The sequence below is a fragment of the Homo sapiens genome, chromosome 6, assembly GCF_000001405.40.
Source record: "Homo sapiens chromosome 6, GRCh38.p14 Primary Assembly".
In the NCBI taxonomy this organism is placed as follows: Eukaryota; Metazoa; Chordata; class Mammalia; order Primates; family Hominidae; genus Homo; species Homo sapiens.
In genome coordinates this window covers 15,545,167-15,563,726 of record NC_000006.12, presented here as the reverse complement: position 1 = coordinate 15,563,726, position 18,560 = coordinate 15,545,167, and the positions used below count along the sequence as shown (strand labels likewise).

The 18,560-nt window shown below is 40.3% G+C and overlaps 1 protein-coding gene and 1 long non-coding RNA gene across 11 annotated transcripts in view, besides 2 other annotated features; one reads left to right on the top strand and one right to left on the bottom strand.

Annotated features, from left to right (window-relative positions):
- Nucleotides 1-18,560, top strand: part of DTNBP1 (dystrobrevin binding protein 1) — a 140,252-nt gene that overhangs the window by 99,332 nt on the left and 22,360 nt on the right. The gene's annotated exons all lie outside the window — the stretch shown is intronic.
- Nucleotides 1,524-17,657, bottom strand: DTNBP1-AS1 (DTNBP1 antisense RNA 1). 2 transcript variants are annotated; one of them, XR_007059478.1, is made up of 3 exons: nucleotides 7,719-17,657; nucleotides 4,393-4,741; nucleotides 1,524-3,192 (listed from the first exon to the last, which is right to left on the bottom strand). It is a non-coding gene; the product is annotated as a DTNBP1 antisense RNA 1 (long non-coding RNA). The 2 variants fall into 2 exon arrangements; XR_007059477.1 differs by lacking the exon at nucleotides 1,524-3,192 and having other exon boundaries at nucleotides 3,747-4,741.
- Nucleotides 11,445-11,993: an enhancer, noted in NCBI's record as "H3K27ac-H3K4me1 hESC enhancer chr6:15551965-15552513 (GRCh37/hg19 assembly coordinates)". NCBI's record gives its function as "activates a minimal SCP1, AML or CMV promoter by ChIP-STARR-seq in primed H9 embryonic stem cells {active_cell/tissue: H9 hESC(primed)}" and the evidence as "EXISTENCE:reporter gene assay evidence [ECO:0000049][PMID:30033119]".
- Nucleotides 12,435-12,729: a silencer, noted in NCBI's record as "tiled region #14615; K562 Repressive non-DNase unmatched - State 7:EnhWF". NCBI's record gives its function as "represses a minimal TATA promoter and a strong SV40 promoter by Sharpr-MPRA in K562 cells {active_cell/tissue: K562}" and the evidence as "EXISTENCE:reporter gene assay evidence [ECO:0000049][PMID:27701403]".

Below are 18,560 nucleotides of genomic sequence, written 5' to 3'. Positions count from 1 at the left end.
TGATTAGTCAAAGAGTGCAGAGTGAAGTCATGGGACAGAGAGATGAAGAAACTGTATTTTCATGCTGATTTGGCTCTTCTGTGGGGATCTTCAAGCTGGTTGGCTTCAGCTTTTCCACTGTAATTCAGGATTTGCTTAAGGAATTCTTAAACAAAAGCCTTATGATTCTAACATCAGAGATCCTGTCTATAGGAACAATGGGTATACAGATGGTCAGTATCTAACGTTATGTGGCATTAGGTTATAAGGAAGTGGCTTAAGATGCAGCCTAATTAATGTTTAATTATAACTATGTTTATGTCCAGAATTCTTGTTAACCCTGTGAAGATGGCTTTAAAAGTTTTTAATTTTGATGAAGTCCATTTTATTATTTTCTTTTTTTATGAGTTATGCTTTTGCTGTCATATTCAGGAACCCTTTGCCTAACCTGAGGCCATGAAGATTTTCTCCTGTTTTCTTCAGGAGTTTCAAATGAGGTATTGTGATAGGTTGGGTTTCACTTTATTAGGAAGGTCATAAAATTCTTCTGTGAGGAAGTGGTACTTTAGCTGAGATCTGAAAGCTGAGTAGGAGGTAAGATGGGAGGGAAGAGATTCCAGCTAGAGGGAAGAGCATGTGTAGGTGGGATATGGCCAGTCTGAAGAGCTAGAAGCAGGTCGTGAAGGCTGCAGTGCAGTGCATCTTCTGGTTCTCAGTGAAACTCATTTATGCCATGTGAAGCAATCTTGCTACAGCAGTAGTCTCAGGGAAGGCTTTTAATGAGCAATGGAAACATGATCAGATTTGCTTTCTAGAAAAATTACTCTGGCTGCTGTGTGGAAGAGGCTTGGAAGGTGGCCAGTATGGATTTGGAGTGACCAGGTAGGAGGCTGTTGGCCAGTTAGTGAGAAACGATGGCAGCTTGGACCCAGGAGAATTACGCAGATTAAGAGTATTAGGGACATATGAGAGTCTGCCTGCCTTTAATACTGCATGGTCAGAGATTATGGCCTGCATAATTTAGGAGATTGTAATAAGGGTGATTATGCTAGTTTCTATGGCTTCTACTCCATTCCCCGGCACACTTCTCTTTTTTGTTCTGCTCATTGAGTTTTCCTTACCAGAAAAAGATAGTCTTAATAGCCTAGACACAGCAATTTAAATATTTTCATTGCTTTCCTCCTCTTCCATAAGACTTTGGGAAAAAATGGAAAGCAACTTATCCATACATCCATTTGGGATTTCTAAGCTAATGGTGAGAAGTGTCTTGCTCAGAAAACTAAAACATTTATTATGTTTACTAAGTGTTTCCATTCTGTGCATGTGATACCTATGAACATATTTTCTTTTTATAAATTTTCTGAAGTATACAGAAAGTCAAAGGTTTCTCAATTTAGATTATAGAGAAACAGATAAGTAAATGCTGCTATAAATTATGAAAAAAACACAACATGATATTGTTACCAGAAAGGGGTCCTGATCCAGACCCCAAGAGAGGGTACTTGGATCTTGTGCAAGAAAGAATTCAAGGCAAGTTCACAGAGTAAAGTGAACCCAAGTTTATTAGAGAAGTAAATAAACAAAGAATGGCTACACCATAGACATAGCAGCCCCGAGGACTGCTGGTTGGCTGTTTTTATGGTCATTTCTTGATCATATGCTAAACAAGGGGTGGATTATTCATGAGTTTTCCAGGAAAGGGGTTGGGATTTCCTGGAACTGATGCATCCTCCCTTTTCCAGACCATACAGAGTAACTTCTGAACATAGTCCTGGCATTTGTAAACTGTCATGGGACTGCTGGGAGTGTCTTTTAGCATGCTAATGCTTTACAATAAATGTATAATAAGCAGTGAGGATGACCAGAGGTCCCTTCCATCACCATTCTGGTTTTGATGGGTTTTGACTGGCTTCTTTACTGCATCCTATTTTATCAACAGGGTCTTCATGACCTGTATCTTCTGATACCAGTTCTGCTAACCTCCTATCTCATCCTATGACTAAGAATGCCTAACCTCCTGAGAATTCAGCCCAGCAGGTCATTTTACCCAGCCCCTATTCAAGATGGAGTTGCTGTGGTTCAAATACCTCTGACTTATTTTCTCCTTCCCTTTTACAAGGAAATTTTAATTCTAAGGGTTGTAGAGGGAGGAAGATCCATCTTCTCTTCCTTAGGCTGAATGGGGTGATGATATTCCCGCCCAACTATTAGCATCTCTTGTATTCACGGTAGAGAGATGCTTGGTCAGAAAGCATCCATATGGTGAGGGCCATTCATAACTCTTGAGTTCTGACCAAAGGTGATATTTGGAAGACTAATAAGTGTTCAATTTAATAAAATATTGAGTTAACTTATTCTGCATTCTTACACAAAGAGCACAATGACAGTATATTCCACAAGAGTAAAGCAAAATAAGTAAAATTATCTCAAGTAAACTAAATAAGAAGGCTTTCCATGAACTGGGCAATTGTTGGAACTAAGCAGACTTGGAGTGGCTGATTCTAATATGTGCCTAGAATTACAATATTGATCCAGATTTTTACATTACCTATCCCTCTTGTTTCTTCTGAGCTTGCATCCAGAGGTCACTGGTTGGTTCACAGGAATAAGCTGGGTCAGTCTAAATTGCAGGGAAAAACTCAAAAACAACAGACAAGGCTAGGTTCTAGTAACAGGTGTACTATAGTTATTGAAACATAGTTTTTCTCTCTCCAGTCTCCCATTTTTACTAAAGACAAAGCATGATAGGCTTGATTTGTTTGCAAAATAAACTTTAGTCTTATTATACCTGGCCTGATTATTTGTATAAAGTGCAGCAAGAATAATTTTTGCTGTATAGGCTCTTTTTAAGTTGGCTTTGATGGAACTTTCTTCCGTAAGGAATCTTAGAGTAGACTTCTTATTAAAGGTTTGAGCCCAGCCAGGGGTTTGTGCTTGCAAATACCTGTGTGAGTTGGATAAATTGTTTCCTTCTTTCAGGGTCCCAAGATAACCTGGGCCTCCTGAGCCTGTCAGAAAGTGACATTCTTTACTTACCACAGGTCAAGAACCCTATGCAGGGACTGTGTAGACAAGGCATGAGGCCAGTTTTCCCAAGGAGCTTTTATTGGCTCTGTAAGTCAACTTTGATTCCTTAAAGAAGCCTGTTTATATTTGAAAGCATGCCATTTCAGTCAAAGCCTTGGTAAAATAACCAGTTTCTCCAACTGGGCCCTGTTACAAAAGAAAACAGATTCTTACTGTACTTATGCAAATAATTATATTGCCATAAATTACAAATACAAATAATTTCCAAATTCTGGAGAAATCAGATAGAGAGAAAGAAATATGCTTCAAATTTTGTTTACAGGAGTACACTTTACCCAATTGGTGCAAAAGTAGTTGCAATTTCAGACCATGAATTTTAAATCGTTATAACTAGGCTCAAACACTTTTTTTTTTTTTGAGACAGTCTCGCTCCGTTGCCCAGGCTGGAGTGCAGTGACATGATCTCGGCTCACTGCAAGCTCCACTTCCTGGGTTCACGCCATTCTCCTGCCTTAGCCTCCCGAGTAGCTGGGACTACAGGTGCCTGCTACCATGCCCAGCTAATTTTTTGTATTTTTAGTAGAGATGGGGTTCCCCCTGTTAGCCAGGATGGTCTTGATATCCTGACCATGTGATCCGCCTGCCTCAGCCTCCCAAAGTGCTGGGATTACAGGTGTGAGCCACTGCGCCTGGCCCCACATTTTTATTAATCAAAATAGTAACCGTTACAATCAACACAGTTTGGACAATGAGAAATAAGTTTATTCCTGTAGCATAAAAATCCATGCTTTGGGATTTGACAAACTTTTGGGAAACATTTTCTGCATCCTCCTGGTTGTGGGAGTGTTTTCCCTGCAAAAAAGTTGTCAAGATGCTTGAAGAAGTAGTAGTCAGTTGGCGAGAGGTCAAGTGAATATGGCAGATGAGGCAAAACTCTGTAGCCCAATTCATTCAACTTTTGAGGCATTGTGTGATGTGTAGTTGGGCGTTGTCATGGAGAAGAATTGGGCCGTTTCTACTGACCAATGCCAGCTGCTGGTGTTGCAGTTTTCTGGGCATCTCATTGATTTGCTGAGTATACTTCTCATATATAATGGTTATGCTGGGATTCAGAAACCTATAGTGCATCACACCAGCAGCAGACCACCAAACAGTGACCGTGAGCTCTTTTTTGGTGCACATTTGGCTTTGGGAAGTGCTTTGAAGCTTCTTCTCAGTCTAGCCAATGAACTGGTTGTCACCGGTTGTTGCATAAAATCTACTTTTCATCACACATCACAGTCTGATTGAGAAATGGTTTGTTGTTGTTGTGTAGGATAAAACAAGATGACACTTCAAAATGACAATTTTTTTGATTTTCACTCAGCTCATAAGGCACCCACTTACCATGCTTTTTTACCCTTCCAATTTGCTTCAAATGCTGAATGACCACAGAATGGTTGATGTTGAGCTCTTTGGCAACTTCTCGTGTAGTTGTAAGAGGATCAGCCTTGACGATCGCTTTCAACTGGTCGTTGTCAACTTCTGATGGCTGGCCACCGTGCTCCTCATCTTCAAGGCTCTTGTCTCCTTTGCAAAACTTCTTGAACCACCATTGCACTGTCAGTTCATTAGCAGTTCCTGCGCCAAATGCATTGTGGATGTTGCGAGTTGTCTCCACTGCTTTATGACCCATTTCGAACTTTGATACGAAAATCGCTCAAATTTGCTTTTTGTCTAATGTCATTTCCGTAGTCTAAAATAAAGATAAACAGCAAGTAGTAAGTCATTAGCAAAAACACATAAAGTGAGAAATGCCCATTAAAATGACCTATAACATAACGACATTTATTTAAGAATGTACTGCAATATCAAACAGCAAATTCCAGCAGTGCAAAACAGAAATTACTTTTGCATCAACCTAATAAAAACTGTAAATAGCTCAAAAGAAAAGTTTTCTTGACTCTGAAAAACAAAACAGAAAGGATGGGCAACATTTTAAGTAGAAAGTCATAAACAGATTATTTCAGTGTTTTATTCAGTTTATGCAATTCCCATTTTGCTCAATATTTATGAATACATTAGTTTTTCAAGAGAGTGTTGGAAGTTCTTTCCTATTTTATTGGCATACTTTTCAAAGTTATCAGAGACCTGCATTTAAGAGTACTCATCAGAGGCCGGGCATGTTGGCTCATACCTGTAATCCCAGCACTTTGGGAGGCTTAGGCGGGTGGATCACCTGAGGTCAGGAGTTCAAGACCAGTCTGGCCAACATGCTGAAACCCCATCTCTACTAAAAATACAAAAATTAGCTGAGTGTGGTGGCACGTGCCTATAGTCCCAGATACTTGGGAGGCTGAGGCAGGAGAATCACTTGAACCTGGGAGGCAGAGGTTGCAGTGAGCTGAGATTGTGCCACTGCACTCCAGCCTGGCGACAGAGACTCCGTCTCAAAAAAAAAAAAAAAAGAGTACTCATCAGAATCTTATAGTTGATTATAAACCATCCTTTGAAGAGGATCAAAACAAGACAATTGTGGATGACAAAATGTCTTTGGGCAGCCATAATCAAAGATGCAATTGACAAGGAAATTTGGTTGCTTCTGTGGTATACAATAATTTAACATAATATAATTACTGATAACGTACACTAAGTCATATCAAAATTATAGGTGTTTCCAGTATTTTTGGAACACATACCAATAATATATTTATATAGATACAACCCAAAGAAAGCCAAACACAACTTCATATTTAACAATGCTTCCTGTATGATTTTAATATACCAAATAAGCCAAATATATCATTTTTTACTTTAGGGGACTGATATCTAAAAGATTAATTAAGAAAAAGACATGATTTATAATTTTACTTTGGAAAGTTTGTCAAATATCAAAGGTTTAAAACATTTGATATTATAAAATAGAATCCTAGGTCACAATAAGTCATTTAGCCAAAATGATAAAGATTTTAAAAAGACAAAAACCTTTACCTGTTAATACAGGAGAACTTAGCTTTCCAAACAATCTCTTTTTTCCTGCCTCTTTTTTGTAGCTTAGGCAAACAAAAATCTTTCATTGTCTTTTAATATTACATGAAATTCTTCTTCATGGGCCAGATTTCACCTTTGTATTTGTGTACTATGAATGTTAAACCCAATTCTTAGTAAAACCCTTAGATAAATTTGTCCAGTCTTAATCAGTTTGACCATAAGGTAGGATTCCTGTAAACCTTTTATAAACTGTTAAAATTTTCTGTTAAATAAAAGATTAATATTCTAAGAAAACCCTGCAGTGCTTTTATTTCAATATTCAATTTATGTAAAAACTGAATATTACCCCTTTAACTTTAGCCAATGTGTTTACACACAGAATTTCTTTTACAAGATTAGTCTTTCACAAACCTTTCACAATTTGCTCAAACCTTCAGCTTTATCATATCTAACTTAAAACAATCCTTTAACCTTTTAAACCAGGCAAAAAAAAAAAAAAAAAAATTCCCACCCCCATGCCTTCTTATAGTATTTTACCAAAAACACATTCTACTTTTAACACACCTTACATGTAAAACTGTTTAGCCAGTAGTCTCAGTTACGTATGTTATGGTATTAACTCTTAGCAACTTTTATTTTTGGTAAAAATCCTGGTAGGTACCAGGTGTGAAGCCTAGGACACCAGACAGAAGTGCAGACAAGGTATGATGCTTTCCAGCATACCCAAGGGGCATGGCCAACTCCACAGGTCCCCAGGCCTTATCTAGAATCTAATGGCTCCAAAGCAGTCAAGCTGAACAATTTTCAAGTCAAAGAAGCAGTTTATGACCTTAAAGCATTTAATCCATTCAAAGTGGGATGGAATGACCTCTGACCAGGAGTTTCAACATGTGGTCCCTGGGCAGGATGGAAGAGAGGACAGTTGCCCTGAGTGACAGAAAAGATAGGAAAGGAAAAAGGGTGCAAGAGAGAGAGAGAAGGGAAGGGAAGGAGGGAAGGGAAAATAGCATTGCCTGAAATGGGGCTGGGCAGGCGAGGAGCTCAGGGAGGCCAGGGAAAGACCCACCCAGTGCGGTGACACTGAATCAAAAGTTCAGGTGGCTGCTTGTCAGCCACAAAGGGATCTTGATCTCCAGCATCTTCATGAGCTCTTAAGTTTCTCCTTTGAGAAGAAAAGTCTCCCCATGTCCCATGTGCTTCTGTACATGCCCAATTCTGTCACCCACAGCCAACAGCAAAGAGCACAAGGCAAGTTAATCCAAAGACTTTTAGGCCAGGTGCAGTGGCTCATGCCTGTAATCCCAGCACTTTGGGAGGTCGAGGCAGGCAGATCACGAGGTCAGGAGTTCAATACCAGCCTGGCCAACATGGTGAAACCCCGTCTCTACTAAAAATACAAAAATTAGCTGGGCTTGGTGGCGCATGGCTGTAATCCCAGCTACTCAGGAGGCTGGGGCAGGAGAATCTCTTGAACCTAGGAGGTGGAGGTTGCAGTGAGCTGAGACTGTGCCACTGCACTCCAGCCTGGGCAACAAGAGCAAAACTCCGTCTCAAAAAAAAAAAAAAAGATTTTTTAACTCCCTATTTCTTAGGAGGGACTCTAACCCTGCTAAATTGGGCATTTTAACCCGGGGATTAACCCAAAGACCTTTAACTGCCTGTTTCTTAGGAGGGATTCTAACCCTGCTAAGTTGGGCCTCTAACCCAATTCTGTTCTTTACCCTGGACAAAATACTACTTACGCAAAGTTGGCCAATTAGTGCTGCAGTCTATTCTTTTGGGTCGGGGTTTCTCCAGTGTTGTCCCTTGGTGGTTTGCCAGGAAGATGTTACTGGAAATGGGTCCCAATCCAGACCCCAAGAGAGGGTTCTTGGATCTTGTTCAAGAATGAAGGCAAATTCAGAGTAAAGTGAATGCAAGTTTATTACAGGAGAAACAAAAGCTACTCCATAGAGCAGCCCCAAGGGCTACTGGTTGGTTATTTTTATGGTTATTTCTTGGTCATATGCTAAACAAGGGGTAGACTATTTATGAGTTTTTTGGGAAAGGGGTGGGGATTCCTGGAACTGAGGGTTCTTCCCCTTTTTAGACCATGTAGAGTAACTTCTGGACATAGCCATAGCATTTGTAAACTGTCATAGCATTGGTGGGAGTATCTTTTAGCATGCTAATGCATTGTAACTAGTGTATAATGAGCAGTGAGGACAACCAGAGGTCACTTTCATCCCCATCTTGGATTTGGTGGGTTTTGGCAGGCTTCTTTACTACATCCTGTTTTATCAGCAGGGTCTTTATTACCTGTATCTTGTGATAACAGTCCTGCTGACTTCCTATCTCATCCTGTGACTAAGAATGCCTAACCATCCTTGGAATGCAGCCCAGGAGGCCTGAGCCTCCTTTTACCCAGCCTCTATTCAAGACGGAGTTGCTCTGGTTCTAATGCCTTTGACAATATTGCTGGATCATTTTAGATTCTTAACATCCTAAATGGTAAATATAGGACCTTTTGACCATCAACATTAAGAGATTCCAGCAAAGAGGAAAGTGTTTTATCTTGTGTGCGTATTTATGTAGGGGAGTGAGAAATAAAATCCTAAGCCCCGTAACTGACTGAACAGATCTCCTCTTAGCCAAGGGGACCCAGAGTAACCTTGAAAACTGAGTTCACAGCCATGATGGGATAGGAGGTCAGACATGCCTCTCATATGCCCCCCTCCCTGGCTAACCATGATTAGGCTTTCTCACCCAAGGGCTAAGGAGCAAACAGCCCTTTCAAAAGACTCCACCGCTGATTTCAACCAACCACCAGACACTGCTTCTCCCTTTTGCGGTTTTCGCATAACTGACCAGCATTTTTTCCCATAAGAGACCACCGACCACGGAATGGTTCGGGCCAGTCTACAGAGACTGCACAGCAAGGGTTTTCTGGTCTTCTTCACCTTTTGACATCAGAGGGCAGCAATCCACCCTTGGATCTTGCTAATGCCACCATTTTTTTGTACATCAGTCCCATGAAGGAGCATGAAGCTCCGTTGCATGTGTGCACCTTTCTCCTTTCATAAATATTCATGACTCCTCCTACAGTTTATTGAATATGTACATGTGGCCACCCTGCTTAGCATCAATTTCTGTTCCCTCTGCCCCTCCCTCAAAGTGTTTGTGTCTGGCTTCTGGCCTGAGGCTGTGCTTCCCTGCTTGTCAGGATGGCCACCCTACAGGCTGCAACCCTTCATGAGAAATAAAGCTCTTCTTTCCAGATTTATGAACCTCATTCTTCAGTTGACAGGAGGAAAAATATCTTTCCCTCACCCATCCTAGGTTCATGGTTAAGACCCCTATAACAAAAGACAGATTAATAAGAAAAAAGCCACTGGGCATAGTGGTATGCACCTGTAATTCCAGCTACTTGGGAGGCAGGGGCTGGAGGATCACTTGAGCCCAAGAGTTCAAGACCACCCTAGGCAACATAGTGAGACTCTATCTCAAATAATAAGAAGAAGAAGAAAAAGAAGAAAAAAGCATACAAATTTAATATAAGTTTTATGTGACATGGGAGCCTTCAGAAATGAAGACCCAAAGCGACAGAAACTTGATGTATTTGCATGCTAGGCTTGATGAAGAGTGGACAGCTGTGTAGAAATATGACTGGACAAAGAGTATGATGTAATAGCAGTCAACTGGGGGGAACTTAGCAAGTTCTGTTTGTTCAGATTCCTCTCTGTGTCCCTGCATCTTCTTCTTATTTGAGATAGAGTCCTTTCTCTCCATGTGTAGGGTTGGCGTCTCTCACATGAGGATCTTGTGTCCTGCTTCAGGAGAAAATGAGAAGATCCTTCCTAGGTTTTATGCCTGCCTCAGGGGAGAAGGGCAAGGGGAAGGTGAGAGCGATCCTCCTGTTTCTGCAGTTTTCTCAGATTCTTTCAGCTTCAAATATCTAATACGCCACAGTGCCATATTTTGGGGTATTGTGTCCTGAACCCCATCACCCAAAATCATAAATAAAAGGAATTAGGCTTAGGAAAGGAAGGAAAAAAGAAAAATGAAAACGACTTAAGAATTAGCTTTCAGGCTCTGGGTCTGCTTCTAAGGAACCTACATAGGCTTTTATAAGAAAATTTAAGAAATGGCAAAGCTGTCTGAGGCCAAAAAAAAAAAAGCTCACTTGTCAAGAGCATTGAACTGCTTTGCACATGAAGAATAGAATGAAGTTGTTCCTCTGCATGTGAGGAAAGATAGATAAAAGACTTTGGAAGGCCTAAAACAGTTTATGTCAAAATGCTAATCAAGTCACTTACCACTTACCATCTCTCTGGAATGCTGTGTGGTTCCATTTTATCTGAATTTAAAACAATATCTATCTTGTATGGTACCGTCTTTCATAATATGAAGCTTATGTTTTCAAATGTCTAAAAATCTTGTATTTTCATCCAGGACCTTTTTTGTATGCTATTTCTGTTCCCTCTGCCCCTCCCTCAAAGTGTTTGTGTCTGGCTTCTGGCCTGAGGCTGTGCTTCCCAGCCTGTCAGAATGGCCACCCTACAGGCTGCAACCCTTCATGAGAAACAAAGGAAATGCAAATATAACAGGGCAGTATTCCTGACTTTACAAATCATTTCATCAACTTGTTTTACTTGATTTTCAGGCAAACTGCTTTTTTCATAAGTTGGCAAGAGTTTTTGGATTTTTCTCCCCTCTCCTGTTGATGATCGTACACCAAAAAACTAAGCAATGAAATAAAATGATTGTTTGAGCTTAGATGAAACTTTTTCCTTAAGGGGGTATTTCCTGAATCTTATACCCTCTTACTCTTATTTTTTTAATTAATCGTTGTTCACTCATTTCACAATCACTTTTGAGTTTCTACTTTGTGCTTAGAACATAGAAGACCTGAAAGTATTCCATGAAAATAATTTATTTCTGTGTATTGAATTGATGGGCAAATCTTCATCCTAAGGAATATCAACATGTGTTATCAGGAGAGTTCATGAAAAGGACATTATCACATCACAGTTTTCAAAACCATATGGGTCTTATTTTAGGAATGTTAGCTCAGTTTATAAGTTATACTTTTCTTACAAAATAATAGGCTTCTTGTATATGACTTGCTGTCTTTTTTTCAAGAAAATAGAGAAAGGAGGTCTCACTATGTTGGCCAGGCTGGTCTTGAACCCCTGGCCTCAAGCAGTCCTCCTGCTTTGACCTCCCAAAGTGCTGGGATTACAGGAATGAACCACTGCACCCAGCTGTGCTGTCATACTAATTGGGTACATGTAAGGGAATCCTGTAATATCTTGGATGTGTTAAACCTTTCATTGAATAAATAATATCAGCTTATAGGTTGTGTGCTATTCTAAATAAACCCTCAATATTCCTTCAGCTTCTCTGCCTACTTTCAGGTGTGGTCAACCCCAAAGAAAGGTTCATGGCATCATTTTGTGAGTATGAATTTGGGGGAGGAGTTCAGAGGGTGTATTTTATTGATCATTTGGATGTGATTTATTTTTGGCATGCTATTTTTAATGCATTACAGATTTCCTGGCCAGCTTTTCCATAGCCCTTGGGTAACGTCACTTTTTATTGAACTGAATCTTAAGTGCAGGTGTTTTTGGATACCTCCTGCACTGATTCCATGGACCAGTCTGATGTCATTGTCCGTTGCCTGTTCCTGAGAGCCCCTTGTAGCCACTTCCTGCTCCCACTTTTAGCCATGAGGATTGTACTTGTTTGTTTCCAGCCCATAGAATGGCATGCTGGTGTTTCCCGTCAGCTGTGCTGCTGTTTCCTGAGCTGTGTGCTGTTTATCTTCTGCATCACTGCACCTCAAACGTCTGGCCTGCTGTGACTGCTGGCTGTGGCTTTGCGATCAAGCAGCCAGTTGAAGGCCTACTCCTGTGTACTTGTGAGGCTGCTCCTGATATCTGGCGTTTACTGTGCAGTCCCCATTTAGTGATTGCTACCAGTACCTTCATCAGACTGTTGCCGAGCGCCAACTCCATGACAGGCACTAAAGCTTCCATGTTGAAAGACACAGTGCTTGCTCTCGAGGAACGTGGCATCCAGTGGAACTATAGGGGGCAAGTGTGTGGTAGCAATGGAGAGGTACCAGCTATGTGGGAGCGTGGAGGAAAGAGAGCCTGGGTCTCCCTGGCCTGTCAGAGAAGGGGGCAGTCGAGCTGAGATGTGGAGGGTGAGTGGAAGTTGGCTGAGTGCAGGCGTCTGAGCAAAGGGTCAAGGCAATTACAAGTCAGGGCATGGCTTCTTTGGAGAACCATCAGGTGTTGGCTGTGTGTCCTTCTTCCGCAGCTGGAAAAGCGGCTTCCTAGGGATACTTCCTGAATAGCAGTTTCATTGCAAAGCTATTCTTATACGTCTTTACTGAGCGTAAGGTTGTTGTAGCCAGTAGAAAACAGGAAGAGTGAGGGGTAAAATCTCTGAACACTATTTTGAATCAGAAGTAGCACATCTTCAGCATCTCATACTTGTCTTTTGCACGTCCTTGTCCCAAGGCATTGATACCTTCAGGTTTGCCAAAAGCTCCTGCTGAGGGCCCCAAGCAGGGGTGTCCTGTCTCCCAGCTGCTGCATTTTTTTTTTCACATCACCTCTCTTTCTGCTCATTTACCCCTTCATCTATAGAGCAGTTAATCTTAGAGAAGCAGTAAGGGAGAGGTCCTGATAAACTAATTCATGTTAAGCTTTGAATGTTAGTTTTCTCAGAGCCCCCTGAATATAGTATTCTTCATACTGAAAAGGACATATTAAAACATGTAATCTCTAATTGGTGAAATCTCAAGAAAGGTGACAAAATTCAGATGACTCAGCATGCTGCCCCCACATTGACAGCTCCCCTGCTCCGACCTTCCTCATGCAGCATCTTCCTCAGCTTGTGGACTCAGGAACTTCTCCAGGTCCATCTTCCGTCATCCCTGTGGGCTGCAACACCAGCCTGCCTGGGAGGGGCAGAATCTGCCTCTCATCCCCATCTCATTAGCTGGCAGTGAAGGACTCCTGGTGGAAGGAGGGAGGGGACCAAGACAGCTATTCATAATACTGATTTATTCATAAGTCACTTATTCATAAGCCTTCAACAGCTTATAATTGAAAGTGATATGTCCCCATTTCAAAAATATTTTCTGGAAATAATGAGGTTTCCAGCAGATATGATCAGCTTTCAAGCATGCTGAGATTTGGCTGTCACTGAACCTTTTAGAGGCAGGATATTTCCAACTGGTGGCATGAGGATATTTATAACAAGAGGCCTTTGAACTCAAAAGCATGTTGAGCTTTGGATAAATATTTTGTATTGCAAGTATATGCAGTATTTTATTTGAAATATATGTAAATGTTGTGGGAAACAAAATTCAAAGCTATGTAAAGTGCTACTGAATTCATAATAGATTTTTGTTGTCACATACTATCTCGTAAATTGCCAAAAAAGTATACCCATTCTTAAACTTGAAAAGGTTTGAGACTCGTTGTCCTAGATTAGAATTTTTGGACTACTTAATTTGAAATCAAGGCAGTATGAGTGGAAACATCTCTAAAGGTGATTGTTTTGAACATTTTTAAGTGTTCTTCAGTGACATTCAAAATCCAAGGAAATCTAGCATCTGAATTCTAATTAATGTTGATAATCATTACACTAATGGTAAATTTTAAACCTGGTTTTGATTTCCTGGAGCTACACTGATGGACGGTGGGGAGCTGCAGGTATCAGTAGTCAGGTTCCCTCACCTTTGGACAGGAAGTTCTTGAAGTGAGGTGGGATTGGCGTAGTCAGGATCTAGCTCTGGTGGTGGTACGGCTTGGGTCAAGGGGCAAGAGCCCTGCCCAAAAAGATTGAAAGTGATTCCTTGCTGTAGCTTTTTTCCTTGAGCTTCAAAGGCCTTTCAGATTCTGTAGTGTCCTATGAAAATGCAAATGTCCCTGGGAAACACTAAACCTAAAAATACTGAATCTTGGCTCTGAAGAGTTGAAAGGATCTTCTCTTGTTAAAACTTTTCACAAGGCTTCGGTTTGGTCGACAGCTAGCTTAGTATAAAATGCTAGAAAAAAAGATAATGCAACCTAGTGAGGACAGGACAATGAGCCTCAACAGGGGAGGCCCAGAGTTGCTGCGGGGGTGCCAGAGGTGGCTAGGAGGGCTGACGGAAAGGGCAGCTGCCAGGACACCACGTCCACTGCACCTGCCACCCACATCCAGCCTGTTTCTGGATTGCGATATTTCGGTTCCCTTTTTTTTTTTTTTTTTTTTTTTTTTAATCCCTGAGACAAAGTCTTGCTCTGTTGCCCAGGCTGGAGTGCAATGGCGCGGTCTCGGCTCACTGCAGCCTCCGCCTCCTGGGTTCAAGCGACTCACCTGTCTCGGCCTCCCGACTAGCTGGGATTACAGGCACCCGCCACCACGCCTGGCTAATTTTTGTATTTTTAGTAGAGACAGGGTTTCACCATGTTGGCCAGGCTGGTCTCGAACTGCTGACCTTGTGATCTGCCTGCCTCGGCCTCCCAAAGTGCTCGGATTACAGGCATGAGCCACCATGCCCGGTCTCAGGTTCCCTTTAAAAAGAAGAAAATCAGCTTTGTTTTTCTGATTGTAATGCTCAAATTAGAGACCCTCAGATCTTTGGAGTTAAACAAAATTGTAGGTGATATTATTTGCAACTGCATTTTATTTGCAGTCTGGATCATGAGAAAACAACTGAAGCTTGTGTATTTCTCCATTCCTGGTAGTGAGGGGTTACTGTCAAAATTAGTCCACATTTGTCAAGTGGTTGCTTGTTCTTGAATGAATAAGATAGAAAAATATACATTTTTAATAATTAATGAAAACTTAAATTTTACATCTGAAGGATTTTTCTCTCATGATTAAAACAAATAACAAAACCCAAACCATAGATTTTAATATTATGTTCAATCACTATTCAACAGGCTTTTTTCTTTTTGTTTTTTAAATTAACATTGCCTTATGTTTAGATGTGCTGACATATTAACTGCCTTCTTTTTTTCCTCTATGTCAAAATTTCTTTATATGAGTTTAGTTTTTAGATATTTCTCAAGATTCTTTTGTAACATAGCAGCCAATTTAAATCACTATAACCATAGAAATGAGAATTGTCTTACTGAGAAAATTCCATCAACATCATTTATATACTGAAATCAAAATGTTGGAAACAAGGGGATGCTTTTGGTTTTTGTGTTCTTAAGAGTTTTCTGTTGGCAAAAAACGTCCTTCCTGCCTTCCAAATGTGTTATACATGGGAAGAATTGTGGTGTGTGTGTGTGTGTGTGTGTGTGTGTGTGTGTGTGTGTGTGTCTGTGTGTGTTTAAGCTTAGAGATTAAGAATAGCAAATGCTGACCTGAATCCTGGGTCTGATCTATTTTAACACATAGATTGTGTTGAACGGCCATGAATCCATAGCAGGTAGAACGCTTTTAAAACTTTTTAAATGTGTGATTATTTATGTTGAATAACAAGCATACCAGGTTATCAAGGTTGGGAAGTTTTTGATTAATTCAAACCTTTTATCTGTTGATATTTACCAGTCTGTCAAAGATGACCAATTTTCAAAGCAGTTAGAATATACTATAAAATGTTTTAATAATTCAGAAATCTCTTAAATCTTTGAATACCTTAGGTTATCATTGTGATTAGCTTTGTTATACTGTTGGAGTCTGAGAGTTTCGATTAATAGAAATTTATGGTTAACATTGATTTTGCATCTCTTCAGCATTTGTTGCCATATTCACTTTCTCACATCTCACTTTGCTTGTATGTATTTTTTCTTCTCTAAAATTTTTATTTGCCAGAGTTTTGTCTATTAGCTTTGAATACAAATATAATTTTATATTGTTTATGGGAAAATTAAATGCAGATGGCTTGAAAACTTCTGTATGTTGTCTCTGAAAATGGAGAGGATGAGAACCCACTCTGTTATATCTGGAGTTCAGGACAAAGCACAGATCTGGTCACAGGGGATCTTGCCTCCTTCTGTGTGGAAGCCACCAAGCACAGGGACTGGTAATGGATTCCACAGAATGGCACAGAGTTGCTAAGGAGGAAAGCCTGCCTTAAGGGGCTTATCCGTTATTGTCACCCATAAGGTTGACAACAGGCAATTCTTGTCTGTGATTATGCATTTTGGTTGCTGCTGGAGCTCTTCCGTTCTGGATAATTTCACAGATATTTTCAAGAGTTAAGGAGATAACATTTCCGTCATTTCTATGGATTGTACCAGCTGCTTCGTCTGTTTCCCATTGTATAAATATTTATACAAGGTCAAAATGTAAATGAAGTAATGCAGTGGTTGCACAGATGTAGTTCGTCTAGAGCAGTGGTTCTCAAGCAGTGTCAGCATTACCTGGGGTTTGGTTAGAAATGCAAATCTTTGGCCCAAATGGATTACTGAATCAGATTCTGGATATGGGGTCCAGGAATCTCTGTTCACTAGTCCTGTAGGTGATTTTGATGCTGCCAAATGTGGAGAACCACTGGTTTTCTGTCTGTACAACCCTTTTGAATGGACTCTTTAATAAATAATTTTCACTCACAGACGCTGGCAGTTGGTTTATACTACTTTTTCTAAAGTCTTTTATGCAGCGTTTTAAAAAAAGCCTTTGATTTTGAAAAGATTCCTGTAGTGATCTAAACTTCTTCCATTTTTTCCCCTCAAACTGTTAATAAGTAGGCCAATTCCATAGTTAAAATTCAGGAACATGTCAGATGTGGCTTAAAAATTCTAGAAATTGGGCTTTTGTCTAAATATCCATAACACAAAGCTTCTAGACTGAAGTTCTTTTTAGTCTTACCAAAAAAAAAAAAAAAAAGAAAGAAAGAAAGAAAAAGCTGCTATTTCATGCGGCATTTTAGCATAGTGTTTCTGTAAAAAGCATCTTTGTCAACATATCACTGAAGAGCATTTTCAAATGGCGTTGAACCATTCCTTCGAACTGTGACTCATCCATGTAGGTATTTGTCGATCTCCTACAGGAAGCAGCCTTCTTGGTGCTACCTGTACTCATTGCAGAAGCCACCACACCGTACCCTTAACCTCCTAGTCTGAGCCTGTGAATTTGAACAAGGGTAATAATTTATGATTAAGTGCATTTCTTACTGATCCATTTATCTTACACTTTCTGGTTCTTATCATTCTTCAATCAATCACATGGCCAGGAAAATGAATGTAAAAATACCTTCAGGTTTTTGTTAATAATTAAATCTTATTTTCTTGAAATGTCATTGTCTAACTCAAAAGGTCTTAGATTCCTTAATGCTAATCTGATATTCATATAATTATACTAAAAACAAGATAGGCTTTGGGATCACCCTTTCCTGCTCCAATCAGAAGTAAATAAAAATAGATTCTCAGCATTTAAGAACTGGAGGTGGGGCCAGGCGCGGTGGCTCACACCTGTAAACCCAGCACTTTGGGAGGCTGAGGCAGGCGGATCACGAGGTCAGAGAGTTCGAGACCAGCCTGACCAACATGATGAAACCCCATCTCTACTAAAAATACAAAAAGTAGTTGGGCGTGGTGGTACGCGCCTGTAATCCCAGCTACTCAGGAGGCTGAGGCAGGAGAATTGCTTGAACCCTGGAGGCGGAGGTTGCGGTGAGCCGAGATCGCACCATTGCACTCCAGCCTGGGCAACAGAGCAAGACTCTGTCTCAAAAAAAAAAAAAAAAAAAAGAACTGGAGGTGACCTTCCGATCCATATTCAGCCAGCTCCACCCTCCTGGCGATGGGAAATCTGAGGCCTCCAGGGTGCATGGTGGGAGGTGAGTGGTGTGCTGAGACCCGCCTGCCTGAGCTGGCCCTGCAGTCAGACCCCGGTCTTCTAAACTGCCTTGCCCTTCCCATAAAAGCTAAGGTATTGTTGAGCATTCTGTCTTAACTATTTCTAACAAGCCTCATACACATCTTGTTCCTGCAGTGTTCATTTTGTTAATACTCTAGATAGTGGTCATTTCCTTAAGGTAATTGATAGGAATTCGAAAACTGTTCCAGAATACTAGAATAGTGTTTCCTGCAGCATGGTTTTAGGAAACAGCATTTCCAGTAGCTGTTCCTAAGGACCTAATTTTGTGACCAACTCAGTAGTTGCCATGAATTCTTTGTTATGTAAAAGTTATTTATTCTGACTATCTGCAAAAAAACTGCCATTATTCCTAACTACTGTGTTTTAGGTAAGGATCATCTTTTTTTAGTTGCATGTAAAAGTATAGTACTTGATTAATGTGTGTAAAGGGTGTGTGTGTGTGTCTGTGTTGGAGCAAGGGTTAAGAAAAGCTCTGTAAAGTCATTTAACTTTCTTTGAAAACGTGTGTTAACTTTAGCATGCACAGAATTGTTTTTCCAAATGCCAATTCTGAGGAATAATGTTCTATAATACTTTAGAATACTCACAGAAATAATGTATGGTATAAAATAAATATGTCTGTTTTGAAAACTAATTATTGATGAAGGCTGGATATAAAACTTTTTAAAACTGTAGAAACACAGGTCACAGAAGTTGATACCTTAAAAATTCATGTATAAGGAAAACCAATGCCAGGAAAATACTTTTACGGGTCTTTTTTTTTAATC